Source organism: Homo sapiens, chromosome 10 (genome assembly GCF_000001405.40).
Source record: "Homo sapiens chromosome 10, GRCh38.p14 Primary Assembly".
Lineage (NCBI taxonomy): Eukaryota > Metazoa > Chordata > Mammalia > Primates > Hominidae > Homo > Homo sapiens.
In genome coordinates, this window is record NC_000010.11 from 14930989 (window position 1) to 14945873 (window position 14885).

The window sequence follows — 14885 nt, forward strand, 5'->3', positions numbered from 1 at the left end:
GGGCTAGGCAACTAGGCTTTTGGCTAATGGAACCATTATTACTACAATAATAGTGATCTAAATGAATAAATGCAATGTTTACTTTAAAAATTACACAGGATTTAATGCTAAGGTATTTTAAAATTTAGAGAAAAATAATGATCACTCAAACCACTACATTTAAAGATCACTAATTAGCCTTAATAATTTTAATTGAAACAATATTTTTTAAAGCAAATTCAAAATGAAAGTCTTGTACTCAGCGTTTGACAAGAGAAGGAGGTTCTGTGTTGGCATTAGAAAACGAATGAGGCTGGGTGTGGTGGCTCATGCCTGTAATCCCAGCACTTTGGGAGGCCAAGGTGTGTGGTCACGAGGTTAGGAGTTCGAGACCAGCCTGGCCAATATGGTGAAACCCTGTCTCTACTAAAAATACAAAAATTACCCAGGTGTGGTAGCGGGAGCCTGTAATCTCAGCTACTCGGGAGGCTGAGGCAAGAGAATCGCTTGAATGTGGGAGGCAGAGCTTGCAGTGAGCCGAGATGGCACCATTGCACTCCAGCCTGGGCCACAGAGTGAGACCATCTCAAACAAAAAAACAAAACAACAAAAAACAAAAGAAGACAAATGACATGTGACTTGCAAAGACACTGGAAACATCCATTAGAAATAGGACCATCAAGACATGAAACTATTTTAAAGTGTGAAAAAAAGTTATGTCTAGATATTTATCTCAAGTAGAAGAAAAAGTTTATAAACACGCTCATGTCATGAGTCTCAAAAAGCACAGGATGGGCGCAGTGGCTCATGCCTGTAATCCCAACACTTTGGAAGGCCAAGGAGAGCAGATCACTTGAGATCAGGAGTTCAAGACCCCCCTGGCCAACATGGCGAAACCCCATCTCTACTTACAAAAATTAGCCAAGCATGGTGGTGCATGCCTGTAATCCCAGCTACATAGGAGGCTGAGGCAGGAGAATCGCTTGAACTCAGGAGGCAGAGGTTGCAGTGAGCCAAGATGGCCCCACTGCACTCCAACCTGGGCAACAGAGCAAGGCTCGTCTCAAAAATAAATAAATAATAAATAAATCAATAAAATTACAAAAATTAGCCAGAAGTCATGGTGCATGTCGGTGGTCCCAGCTACATAGGAGGCTGAGGCAGGACAATCACTTGAACCTAGGAGATGGAGGCTGCAGTGAGCCAAGAGTGGGCCACTGCACTCCAGTCTGGGCAACAGAAGGAGAATGTCTCGAAATATATAAATACATATATAAATAGCACAAATGTTTAAGTTATAAGCTATAATATATTACTGATTTCATTACAAATAAATTTGAATTATCAAACGTGTATGAATAGATTTCATCAGAAAACTATAAAGATCTGGTTGGGGGTGGTGGCTCACGCCTGTAGTACCAGCACTTTGGGAGGCCGAGGGAGGCGGATCACGAGGTCAGGAGATTGAGACCATCCTGGCTAACATGGCTAACCTCGTCTGTAGTAAAAATAACAAAAAATTAGCCGTGCATGGTGGCGGGCGCCTGTAGTCCCAGCTACTCAGGAGGCTGAGGCAGGAGAACACGTGAACCCAGGGGGCGGAGCTTGCAGTGAGCCTAGATCGCACCACTGCACTCCAGCCTGGGCGACAGAGTGAGACTCCATCTCAAAAAAAAAAAGTACAGATCTGTGTCTATTTACTAGTGACGAAAAGTGTGGTCATGGAATATGGCAATGTACAGTTCCATGACCTTGAGCTAACAACTTAGGATTGCAGCCTCAGGTTTTACATTTGTAAAGCGAAGAGCCTATAAATGGAAGCCCTGACCTTTCTTCTTTTTCATAGATTACACAAACAATACGAGAGGAATCACTTGCACACGTACCTTGGGATGCCGGCATGCATGGATCTGAGTGTTGCGGTCTGTTGTGAGATGATGAAGGATCTCAGGCATGTTCCTAAACATGTCTAGCTTATTCACATGAACCTAAGGCAAATAATACATACATGCAAATTATGTGAAATGTATTTCCTATAAATTGTTCAAGGTTAATTACTCAGGGCAAAACACCCAGTTAGTGAATTAACCCTCTCTTCTTTCTTGAAAAGTAGTTTTTGGCTATTCAGTGCACTCTGGTATTCCGCCAGCATGTCAACAGGCACAAGGCTGACTGGCCAGGATCGCTGCCATCACTGACGTCAGTGAACAATTATGGACACTCGGCTCAGGGATGTCATTTAATGATGTTAATGTTGTCCTTCAGTCCTTCAAGAGAAATTCAGTTAATATTCCTCGTACACCTACTATGTGTCGAGCTTTATTCTAAATGCTGGGAATAAAGCAGTAATCCACACAGACAAAAACAATCAAGAATCATCTACCCTCAGCCAGGTGCTGTGGCTTATGCCTGTATTCCCAGCACTTTGAGAGGCGGAGGCCGGTGGATCACTTGAGGTCAGGAGATCGAGACCAGCCTGGCCAACATGGTGAAGCCCCATCTCTACTAAAAATACAAAAATTAGCCAGGTATGGTGGCTCAGGCCTGTAATCCAAGCTACTCGGGAGTCTGAGGCAAGAGAATCACTTGAACCCAGGAGGCAGAGGTTGCAGTGAACTGAGACCGTGCCACTGCACTCCAGCCTGGACGACAGAGCAAGACAGTCTCAAAAAAGAAAAAAAAAAATCAAGAATCACCTTAAAGGCATATACATGATGTACAACAGAGGAGCATGTACTGCAAATAATCCACTGCCATATCTCCTTGTTCAAATTTATTTTCAATGCTGGTCACAATCACTAAATTTATTTCATGACCCAAAGTTTGGGAAAAATACTTTGTCTATGCGGCATTTCACTGAAGGCTCTTGTAAGCCATTTTGGCTTCTGTCAATTTTCTCCCAGGAGGATGTGACTGAACTAAGATGATATATTCCTTCAGAGGGCCCGCGAACCTCTGCTGCAGACACGTCTTGTTAGGGTGCTTCCATCTGTCCCTGTTTGCAGTTATTTAGCAGGCGAGGAGGGGGAGGAAAGGTGAGCTGGGAGGATGGAAGGGAGCAAGAGAAAAGAATGAACAGACTGGGAACACTGGCTCAGGCCTATAATCCCAGCACTTTAGGAGGCCGAGGCAGGCAGATAGCTTGAGGTCAGGAGTTCAAGACCAGCCTGGCCAACATGGTGAAATGTCGTCTGTGCTAAAAATACAAAAATTAGCTAGGCATGGTGGCTCACGCCTGTAATCCCAGCTACTCAGGAGGCTGAGCCAGGAGAATTGCTTGAACCCGGGAGGTGGAGGCTGCAGTGAGCCGAGGTCGCGTCACTACACTCCAGCCTGGGCAACATAGCAAGACTCCCTCTCAAAAAAAAAAAAAAAAGAAAAAAGAAAAGAAAAGAATGAACAGTCACCATACCTGGACTCCTAATTCTTCACTAAGGTTGGTGAACAGATATTCATAGCCATAAGCCGCTTTGCAGTTCAGCCACACAACATGGTACGGGCTCCGAGTGATCCAGCTTCGGACCAGCTCTAAGACTCCACTTAAACACTCCTCCTAGACAGGATTTTAAAGAGACATTTAACAGGTGGAGAGCCGCACATAGCCTTTTCCTTCCCAACAGTCCCAGGTACTCACACCTACGGGGACAGTTAGGATATGACCTGTCACCCTACAAACTTCCTACTAAAAACACGGGCACACCCAGATGATAACCCTGTTCCTCCAGGCAGACTTACCCGACTTGGAATTTGGTAAAATCTTGGATCACAGAACGTAGTATCCAAATATACACTTTGGATGTCTTTGACTCTGAAAAGAAAAAAAATTGATGTTAGCCATCCAATGTGATATAAATTATGTGTAACTTTTTTTGTTTTTTGAGATGGAGTTTCGCTCTGTTGCCCAGGCTGAAGTGCAATGTCTGCTCACTACCACCTCCTCCACCTCCCGGGTTCAAGCAATTCTCCTACCTCAGCCTCCCAACTATCTGGGATCATGGGTTTGTGCCACCACACCTTGCTAATTTTTGTATTTTTTAGTAGAGACGGGGTTTCACCATGTTGACCAGGCTGGTCTCGAACTCCTGGCCTCAAGTGATGCACCCACCTCAGCCTCCCAAAGTGCTGGGATTACAGGCCAGAACTCCCAAAGTGCTGGGATTACACCCGGCCAGAGCAATAAAACTTTATTCAGTCATACACAGAAGAACTGTACAAGAGGCCAGGCACAGTGGCTCATGCCTGTAATCCCAGCACTTTGGGAGGCCAAGGGGGGCAGATCACCTGAAGTCAGGAGTTCAAGACCAGCCTGCCCAACATGGCAAAACCCCATCTCCACTAAAAATACAAAATTAGCTGGGCGTGGTGGCACGTACCTGTTATCCCAGCTACTTGGGAGGCTGAGGCAGGAGAATCGCTTGAACTCTGGGCGACACAGCAAGACTCCATTTCACAAAAATAAAATAAAATAAAATAAAACCTATACGAGGCCCAGTACCTGCCCCCGGAGTGCAGAAGCTCCATTCTAGCAGCTTCTCCTTGCGCCAATCTGAAGTCTCCTGTGTACAGGACAGTTCCATTATTGCCCTGAAATAAAAACCTGAAAAAGAAATATATCCCAGTGACTTCTGAGTCTCATATAAACTCCCAATAAAGCAAATACATGTGAGCTGCATACTAAATGCTTCCTGCAAACATATCCATTACAATACAATGGTAATGGAATTCCACAGTAATTTGAACCACACCAGGCACTCAGCTGTCACCTCTTCCCTCGGGTAGAAAATAACAGAATGGAGATGCTACCCAGTTTGTAATAGATGTTCCTTGTGATATGTTAGCACTTTCAATTATATGTTGAGATCATTCTTGCTCATGGAGAGAGAAATACACGTGATGATAAAATACAAGGTCACTGGGGAAACAGCTGCTGAAGACTTCCATTTATTTATTTTTATTTTGAGATAAGAGTCTTGCTCTGTCCCCCAGGCTGCAAGGCAGTGGCTCAATCTTGGCTCACTGCAACTTCCACCTTCTGGGATCAAGCAATTCCCCAGTAGCTGGGACTACAGGGGTGTGCCACCACACCCGGCTAATGTTTATACTTTTTGTAAAGTCAAGGTTTCACCATGTTGGCCAGGCTGGTCTTGAATTCCTGGCCTCAAGTGATGCACCTGCCTTGGCCTCCCAAAGTGCCGGGATTACAGGTGTGAGCCACCACACCTGGCCATGAAGACTTCCATTTTATAAGAAACGTTTCAAATCTGATCTTCACCTCAGTCCCCCTAGTTCAATTTGGGAACAAATGTGTTTTAAATGACTAGAAAAAAAATCAAATCTCCCTCTATGTATTCTTTCTTTCTTTTTTTTTTTTTTTTTAAAAAAAAAACTCACTGCAGCCTCCAACTCCCAAGCTCAAGCAATCCTCCCGCGTCAGCCTCCCAAAGCACTGGGATTACAGACATGTGCCACTGCACCCAGCCCCCTATTAATTTTAGACCCTAAAAATTTATTTCTACAAATACAATATGTGTCTACATATAATAAAATGACAAAATAAATGACCCCCTTACATAACTGATCCCGGACAGTGACCAGCTGGTAAGAGAGTCACAACAATCTCTTCCTTCTAAAAAGAAAATAAAGAAAAAATAGTAATGGAAAGCAGTTATCATTAGGACCTAGCTCAACAAAGCCCTCCTTCACAGAACACATTTATGTACCTTTTAACAATGTGCCTTTTCTCCCAATTTCCTCACACTCCAAATCCTAGAAACAAGTGGAATCCTTGTCCACTCAACAAACAGAATTCCCATGGGACTGAGCAATTTCACCACTAGTTATAGAACCAAGATAAGCGAAAACCGATGGCCACACAAAAATGTGTGCCTGACTGTTCACAGCAGCATTCTTCATACTAGCCAAAAGGTGGAACCAGTTCAAATGTCTATCAGCTGATGCATCAATCAGGAAAATGTGGTCTAGCCATACAATGAAATATTATTTGGCCATAAAAAGAACCGACACGTGCTGCAACATGGATGATCCTTGAAAACATCCTCAGTGAAAGAAGCCGGATAAGAAATGAACACATGTTGTATGATTCCACTCATATGAAATATCCGGAATAGGTGAACCCATGGAGACAGAGAGTCCAATACAGTAGTGGTTGCCGGGGGTTGGGGAAGGAGAGAATAGGGAGGGATTGCGATCGCTAAAGGCTTCTTCCCTTGGGGTGCTGAAAATATTCTGAAATTGATTGTGGTGATGGATACACAAGTGTGTGACTCGATTTCTATCTCAATAAAGCTATTTACTTTTTTTTTTTTTTTTTTTTTTGAGATGGAGTCTCACTCTGTCACCCAGGCTGGAGTGCGATGGTGTGATCTTGGCTCACTGCAACCTCTGCCTCCTGGGTTCAAGTAATTCTCCTGCCTCAGCCTCCCCAGCTGGGATTATAGGCGCCTGCCATCACGCCTGGCTAATTTTTTGTATTTTTAGTAGAGATGGGGTTTCACCATGTTCGCCAGGCCAGTCTTGAACTCTTGACCTCAAGTGATACATCTGCCTCGGCCTCCCAAAGTGCTGGGATTACAGGTGAGAGCCACCAAGCCCGGCCACTATTTAACAATTTTTAAAGCCTGAGCCAGGTGCGGTGGCTCATGCCTGTAATTCTAGCACTTTGGGAGGCCAAGGTGAACGAATCCCTTGAGGTCAGGAGTTTCAGACCAGTCTGGCCAACATGGCGAAACCCTGTCTCTACTAAAAATACAAAAATTAGCTGCGCATGGTGGTGGGCAGCACCTGTAATCCCAGCTACTCAGGAGGCTGAGGCAAGAGAATCGCTTGAAACCAGGAGGTAGAGGTTGCAGTGAGCCAAGATCGCCCTACTGCACTCCAGCCTGGGCGACAGAGTAAGGCTCAGTCTCAAAAAAAAAAAAAAAAAAAAAAAAGATTAAAGCCTGGATGAGGCCTGGTCCCGATTCACACTGCACATCATACTGTTCGGCAAGGGCAAGACCTGCAGGCACTACTGCCTCTCCAGCCATCAGTAAGTGGGGAGAGCTCTGCACACACCAGGTCACTGCTCAGTGACAGGGACTCCTCATGGAAGTCTCCATTCATTCTGGAGGACCCTTTCGAGTGGGTCTCCCCCTGGTTGGAGCTGGATAAACAATGCATAAAAGTCATGGCACACAGGAAGAAACATAAAAAATCAAAGTGGTGGCAGGACTGCTCAAAAGTCAGCCTGCTGTCGGCCCCCAGTTCAGGGAATGCCTTTCACCAATATCCCTGATTGTGACAAGGCCACAGACCACCACAGTATTCCCCGGAAAAGCAGTTGGCAGAGTCCAGGATGGCATTTACAAAGGTTCACCTATTTTTTTTTTCCTTTTTAATCCTCACTAAACTGGCTCTGTAGTCCTCCCTCAGGATAATTTGATGGGAAGAATACTTCAACTTCAACTGTCTGATCTTCACCAAAGAAGAAATATCTGAAAAGGTCAGTTTCTGTTCAACAACACAACACACCCTCAAAGTTAAACACGGCAAAGCAGTGTGCTATAATCAAGCAACAAAGCCAATATTAACCAAAATAGGAAAATACCTACCAGCTGTAAAGGTTAAAAAAAGGGGGGCTGTATGTCTATAGTCCTACTTATTAAAACCATACATTCACAAAAGTACTACCTCAAAATTTAATGATGAAAAATAATTTTTTTCCACTTGGCAGAGCCCCTTTTCTGAATAAGGGTTCAGAAAAAAAGTACAATATTCATGAATTACCTGCAAAAATATTAATCACCATTTTAAATTCTGAGCATTATAAAACTCAGTAAATGTGACAATAACATCATGTAGTAATATCAACACCAGGGTTCCCATCATTAGCATGTAATAAGGAACAAATGTGACAAAAAATAAGCCATGCCCAATCCTTTACAACATGGGAAATAAATACATCACTGTTAAGGACTAAATGTTCGTGTCCCTCCCCAAAATTCCTATGTTGAAATCCTAACCCCCAAAGTGGTTTTATTAGGAGGCTTTTGGGAGGTGATTAGTTATTGGGCATAGAAGCCTTGTGAGTGACATCAGTGCCTTTATAAAAGACACCCAGGGGAGCTTGTCTGCCCCTTTACTATGGGAGGACACAGGGAAAAAGACAGCATCTAAGAACCAGGAAGTGGCCAGGCACAGTGACTCACGCCTGTCACCCCAGAACTTTGGGAGGCCAAGGCAGGCGGATCACTTGAGGTCAGGAGTTCAAGATGAGTCTGACCAACATGGTGAAACCCCTTCTCTACTAAAAATACAATAATTAGCTGGGCTCTGGTCGTGGTGGCAGGCGCCTGTAATCCCAGCTACTAGAGAGGCTGAGGCAGGAGAATCGCTTGAACCCAGGAGGTGGAGGTTGCAGTGAGCCAAGATCACACCACTGCACTCCAGCCTGGGTGACGGAGTGAGACTCTGTCTCAAAAAAAAAAAAGAACCAGGAAGTGGGCCCTCACCAGACACGAAATCTGCTGGAGACTGGATCTTGGATTTCCAGTCTCTAGAACCCTAAGCAACAAGTGTCTATTGTATAAGCCACTCAGTCTACGGTAGTTTTGTGAGTCCAGCCCAAATGGACTTACACAATCACAAAGGGATTTTTTTGCCCCTAAAACCCCACTCAATGACTAGATTTTTATTTATGGTTAAATGAGCATTCAAAATCAAAGAGAAAGATTGAGGGTATAGCTGAGGGGTGGAGCATCTGACTGCAAAATCAAAGAGAAATATAAACAATCATTTTAGCACCACATTTTTTTAAAAAAATCAATATTTAATATTTAGTTACCTCTCCTGATGCTTCATCCACTAAAGATATCTGGGTAGGAGTCTCGATTTCAATAGATATCTATAAAAATAAAATAAGAGACCATGTATATAGCAGTTTTTCATGGCTTTATATGCCTTTGCTGTCTGAAACACAGAAATGGGGCAAAGAGAAGTTTCAGACTCTCTATATAAACAATTCCGATTACATTGTAATAAATATTTTAACAGTTAGAAAAAATTGTAAAGAAAATAATACCTGTCTTGAGGCAGATTTGGTAATACGGAGTAAACGCCTTGTAAATGCATATAATCCTCTGACACAATTCTGTTTCCATGAATTCATTTTTCCTCCTTCATCTCCCCATCCCTACCACTCCCATTCCCCTCTCTCTCTGAATTCTGAGTCTTTGTAAAAACGTGGTCCTGTGTCCTAACTTTTGTGCCTCAGAACACAGTCTGGATGGGTCTGTGACATGGATGCTTCATACACGGTTCTTTTATTTTTTTTTTTTTTCTCAGATGCATTCTCGCTCTGTCACCCAGGCTGGAGCGCAGTGGTGTGGTATCGGCTCACTGCAACCACCGCCTCCTGGGTTCACGCGATTCTCCTGCCTCAGCCTCCCAAGTAGCTGGGATGACAGGCGCCCGCTACTACGCAAGGCTGAGTTTTTTGTACTTTTAGTAGAGACAGGGTTTTGACATGTTGGCCAGGCTGGTCTCCAACTCCTAACCTCAGGATCAACTGCCTCAGCTTTCCAAAGTGCTGGGATTACAGGCGTGAGCCACCACACCCAGCCTCATGCACTGGTTCTAAGTGCTGCCGAACGCTCCCTGGTACATTTCCCCCTGCCATCAAAACAGAGACTAGCACATAAGAGGCATTCAGTAAGTATCTGATGAATAGATCAATGTGATTTTTCACCTTTTTAGTCCACTAATGTCCTAAAACTTACAGTGTCTAAGGTTTGGGTGTTAAAGTATTTTTGCATTTCTGGAATGAAACATCTTATTCATGATGTACTATTTAACACTGCTAGATTCAGTTACTGTCTTTATGAGGATTCTTACATTTTCATGTATGAAATGGGTTTTTCCCCATTTATTATTTTTGAGATAGGGTCTCGCTCTGTCGCCCAGGCTGGGGCGCAGTGGCACGATCTCAGCTTGCTGCAACCTCTGCCTCCCAGGTTCAAGCAATTCTCCTGCCTCACCCTCCTGAGCAGCTGGGACTACAGGCACCCGCCACCATGCCTGGCTAATGTTTTGTAGCAGAGATGGGGTTTCACCATATTGGCCAGACTGGTCTCGAACTCCTGACCTCAGGTGATCCCTCCACCTCAGCCTCCCAAAGTGCTGCGATTACAGGTGTGAGCCACTGAGCTAGTCCTCTTTTCTAATATATCTATTTAATGCTATCAATTTCCCTTCAAGGACAAATTTAGCTATGTTCCACACATTCTGACATGCCACATTTCCATTGTCCATCAGCTCCTTTATTTATTTATTTATTTTGAGACAGGCTCTCGCTGTGTTAGCCAGCCTGGAGTGCAGTGGCACAGTCACGGCTCACTATAACCTCAAACTTCGGGGCTCAAGTGATTTTTCTGCCTCAGCCTTCTGAGTGGCTGGGACTACAGGCACACTCTACTATACCAGGCTAGTTTTTAAGGTTTTTTTGTAGACATGGGGTTTTGCAGTATTGCCCAGGCCGGTTTCGAACTCCTGGACTCACACAATTGTCCCACCTTGGCCTCCCGAAGTGCTAGGACTACACATGAGAGCCCCCAAGCCTAGCCATATCAGTTCTACATATTGTATGTTTTCTTTATCGTACAATTTCCTTTTTAACCAAAGGGTCAGTTATTGTATGCATTTAGTTTCCACGTGTATGGGAAGATTTTAGCTGTCCCTTTGTTTCTGATCTCCAACATCATTGCCTTCTTTTGTGACACAGTACATGGTTAGTTTTTGTAAGTGTCATGAGCACCCCCCAAAATACTATTTTCTTCCTTGGGTTTAAAGTTCTGTTCATTAGTCCACATTCACACATTTTCTGCATCCTGTTTCCTGCCTCCTTCTTTCAGCATCTGGGAGGGGCATGTTAAGCTCTTCAGTGACAATTGTTGATTTCCTATTTCTTGCCCTGATTCTGCCGTGGCCTTGTTTGTACTATGTCAACTCACCTAAGCTGGAACTGTTTCCTAGAACCCCTTTCCATGTTGTTGCCCACAGTAAACATTAAGAAGGCAGATGTGAACTAGTAGGGATTTTTTAATGCTCTGAAGGGCGCCAGAAATGGTAACAGCTAGTGAACATTGCTGACCTTCTGGCTTAACTCAGAGTCTGGGGCAGGGCCGCAGCAACATCAGCTTCTGCTGGGTGCCCGTGTGCAGCTCCTCCGAGTCCTGGGGCAGGTGCATGTGCTTCAGAGCCAAAGCGGGAGACCAGCACTATTGAGGCCAGAGGAAGTGAGAGACAGAAGTGGGTTTCGGTCTGTCCTAGTGGGCCATTCTGCCTTCCAGTTTGTCTCTGTTCCCCTCCACTTCTCTTCCAGCTTTCCTTCCTGACTGCTGGCCGGGCTGACCTGTAGTAACTTCAAGCTGAATGCCAGAGACAACAGGAACAACCCTGCTGTTGTGACTGCTCTGCAGAGGGAGGACAAATCCCCTTCTCAATCAAAGGTCAGATGTGGAGGTGGATGATATCATGCACACAAACACACGTGCACACACTATGTGTGCATACTCACACACGCATGCACATACACACACGCGAGCACACACACGACAGAGAATGAGAAGAAAACTTCAGTCACATCACAGGACTTTCGGGGAGGGCAGTGCAGTCCCTGAGCTGGGGACAGAAGTGTTTCCTGTGGCTTAAGAGAGAGTAGGAGCAAGTAGCCCTGGTTTCCACTTTGGTGCGGGTTGGGCCTGGACATGCCTGGTTTGAACTTCGCCTTAGTGCTAAGGCAGGCATGGGCCTTTTTGTCAGCTTGCCCAAATGTGGGTAGGAGGGAGGCACTGGCTGCAAGCAGCTTAAGAGCAAACAGAAGCCCGGCATAGTGGCTCACACCTGTAATCCCAGCCCTTGGGTGGCCGAGGCGGGAGGATCACCTGAGGGCAGGAGTACAAGACCAGCCTCGCCAACATGGCAAAACCCCATCTCTACTAAAAAATACAAAAATTAGCCAGGTGTGGTGGTTCAGGCCTGTAATCCCAGCCACTAGGGAGGCGGAGGCAGGGAGAATTGCTTGAACCGGTTAGATGGAGGTTGCGGTGAGCTGAGATCACGCCTCTGCGCTCCAGCCTGTGACAGAGTGAGACTATCTCAAAAAAAGGAAAAAAAAAAGTAAACAGACTCTTTGTGACACTGGGACAAATTGCTCTGCCAACTCCCACAATGATTTAAGAACTAATCCATGTAATGAACCCACATTCTGTTAAGTCATTGTGGTTCTCCTCAGATCAAGCACTGGGTGACAGGTTCTCGCAGTTTCTACTTCAGCTGGATGCTATTTTGTCAATTGCACATACGTCCATATGACCCATGGCTCCTTTTAACAGTGACACCCTCTTCAAACCTTGTCTTTCTTTGCCTTCTAGTCTACTTTCTGATATTAAAAACTGCCACTCTGACATTTTGGCCTTCTGATTGGTTAGTAATTTTTTCTTCTTCCCCCAAAATTTCAAATTTCAACCTGTATTTATCCTTCTGTTTTATCTATGTCTCTTATAGACTAATACTCATGAATTTGTCTAACTTTTTTGTTTGTTTTTGAAGATGGAGTCTCGCTCTGTCACCCAGGCTGGAGTGTAGTGGCACGATCTCAGCTCACTGCAACCTCCGCCTCCCAGGTTCAAGCGATTCTCCTGCCTCAGCATCCCAAGGAGCTGGGACTACAGGCACCGCCACCACACCCAATTTTTTGCATTTTTAGTAGACACGGGGTTTCGCCCTGTTGGCCAGGCTGTTCTCTATCTGACCTCAGGTGAGCTGCCCGCCTCGGCCTCCCAAAGTGCTGGGATTACAAGCGTGAGCCACTGGGCCCAGCCAGATTTGTCTGATTTTTTTAACTTAAACTGAGAATTTGTCTTTTGACCAAAGGTACAATTAAATCCTTTCCTATATATAGTCATATATAATTGGACTTTTTCTGCCTTCTTTGCATTTTCTATTCACCAGACTTTTTCCTCCCCTTGACTACCTCATATTGGACAGATGCATTTTATTCTGCCAGACCGAAAGTTACCCATTCTATCTGTATTCTTCTAGCTGTCATCCCTTCCTTATGACAGCCTGTAATTTGTTTATTTTTCTTACTCTATCCCACAATTTAAATAAAAGGATTTAGCAATTATGTTAATGAACACTTTACACTCTAAAATATTAAAATGTGGCCAGGCATGGTGGCTCACACCTGTAATTCCAACACTTTGGGAGTGGATCCACTTGGAACCAAGTGGGTGGAACCAAGGTGGGTGGATCACCTGAAGTCAGGAGTTTGAGACCTGCCTGACCAACACAGTGAAATCCTCTGCCTACTAAAAACACAAATATTAGCCGGGTATGGTGGTGGGATTCTGTAGTCCCAGCTACTTGGGAGGCTGAGGCAGGAGAATCACTTGAACCCAGGAGGCAGAGGTTGCAGTGAGCCGAGTTTGAGCCACTGCACTCCAGCCTCGGCAGCAGAGCGAGACTCCATCTCAAAAACAAAAAATAGAAAATATTAAAATGCATCTTAGCAAGAGGGTCAATGAGATTAAGCAAACAAAACTGAGACCTAGATCTCACTCTTGAGGAAGAAGGAAAACATATCAACAACTACCAAATGTTGACTTCTGCCATATTGTTCAATGCCAACAGACTTAATTTTTTTTTTCTTTTTTTTTTTTTTTTTTTTAGATGGAGTCCCACTCTGTTGCCCAGGCTGGAGTGCAGTGGCGTGATCTCAGCTCATTGCAACCATTGCTTCCTGGGTTCAAGCAATTATCCTGCCTCAGCCTCACAAGTAGCTGGGACTACAAGTGTGTGCCACGACACCTGGCCAAATTTTGTATTTTTAGTAGAGACAGGGTTTTACCATGTTGGCCAGGCTGGTCATGAACTCCTGACCTCAAGTGATCCATCCGCCAAGGCCTCCCAAAGTGCTGGGATTATAGGTGTAAGCCACCATGTCCGGCCAGAGACTCAATATTCTAATTAATGTGGATAACTGAAGTATGTTACAAACTGAGGCAAAGTTTTTGTCAATCTACCTCTAAAAATACTTCCCACTTAAAAAAAATTAAGTTATTAAAAAAATAAAACTTACAATTCGTTTCTTCCAAAATCTGTATTTCGGGCTCGTTAACAACAACTCCTTAGTCACAGGTGAACAGTATAGATAAACCTTCAAGCTGAAAGGAAAAAAGAAAAAAACTTTCAGTACAATCCAAAATGAGCCATCTTGGTGACTAAGAAATCTATTTCATCATACATCTAATAATTTCATTTGAGACCAGTCTGACCAACATGGTGAAACCCCATCCCTAATAAAAACACAAATACTAGCCTGGCATGGTTATGAAATCTATTTCATCATACATCTAATAATTCAGAAATTACGCTGGCACAAAATCTGTTAGAGTCACTCTCAACATACCTATGCACACCATTTCAGTGCCACCAAGAGCACAAGGTGGGGGTGGAAACACGGTGTCCCTGGACCTCCTCCAACAGTGGTCCCTCACCATTGTTACTTGGAAATACGCGCTTGTATGTGATCAGGTGTGTCTGGAAAGATACCGCCACACATTACACTACCTCTGGAAAAGGTGTGTTGAGAACAGAAACTTCTGCTTTTTACTGTATAAGTCTATTCTTTTTTTTTTTTTTTTTTTTTTTGAGATGGAGTCTTGCTCTGTTACCCAGGCTGGAGTGCAATGGTGTGATCTCGTCTCACTGCAAACTCCACTTCCCAGGTTCAAGCGATTCTCCTGCCTCAGCCTCCCGAGTAGCTGGGATTACAAGCACGCGCCATGATGCCGGACTAATTTTTGTATTTTTGTAGAGATGGAGTTTGACCACGTTGGCCAGGCTGG

General features: G+C 44.4%; 1 protein-coding gene across 23 annotated transcripts in view, besides 1 other annotated feature; it reads right to left on the reverse strand.

Moving 5' to 3' along the window:
- DCLRE1C (DNA cross-link repair 1C) overlaps positions 1-14885 on the reverse strand; it is a 57074-nt gene that overhangs the window by 33630 nt on the left and 8559 nt on the right. For 9 of the 23 annotated variants that reach the window (NR_146960.1, NR_146962.1, XR_930515.3 and 6 more), the window contains 7 exons: positions 14117-14201; positions 8822-8881; positions 5550-5605; positions 4475-4576; positions 3715-3787; positions 3392-3532; positions 1866-1967 (listed from right to left, as the gene is read on the reverse strand). Coding sequence is in view for 18 of the 23 variants with exons in the window: in NM_001350965.2 (NP_001337894.1) it covers positions 1866-1967; positions 3392-3532; positions 3715-3787; positions 4475-4576; positions 5550-5605; positions 8822-8881; positions 14117-14201 (619 nt within the window). In the remaining 5 variants the exon portion in view is untranslated. Of the gene's footprint in view, positions 1-1865; positions 1968-3391; positions 3533-3714; positions 3788-4474; positions 4577-5549; positions 5606-8821; positions 8882-11125; positions 11448-14116; positions 14202-14446; positions 14578-14885 lie in introns of all 23 variants that reach the window. The other 14 variants (NR_146961.2, NM_001350966.2, XM_047425648.1 and 11 more) reach the window with 8 other exon arrangements.
- Positions 11414-11533: an enhancer, noted in NCBI's record as "active region_3087". NCBI's record gives its function as "activates an Ori minimal core promoter by ATAC-STARR-seq in GM12878 lymphoblastoid cells {active_cell/tissue: GM12878}" and the evidence as "EXISTENCE:reporter gene assay evidence [ECO:0000049][PMID:35858748]".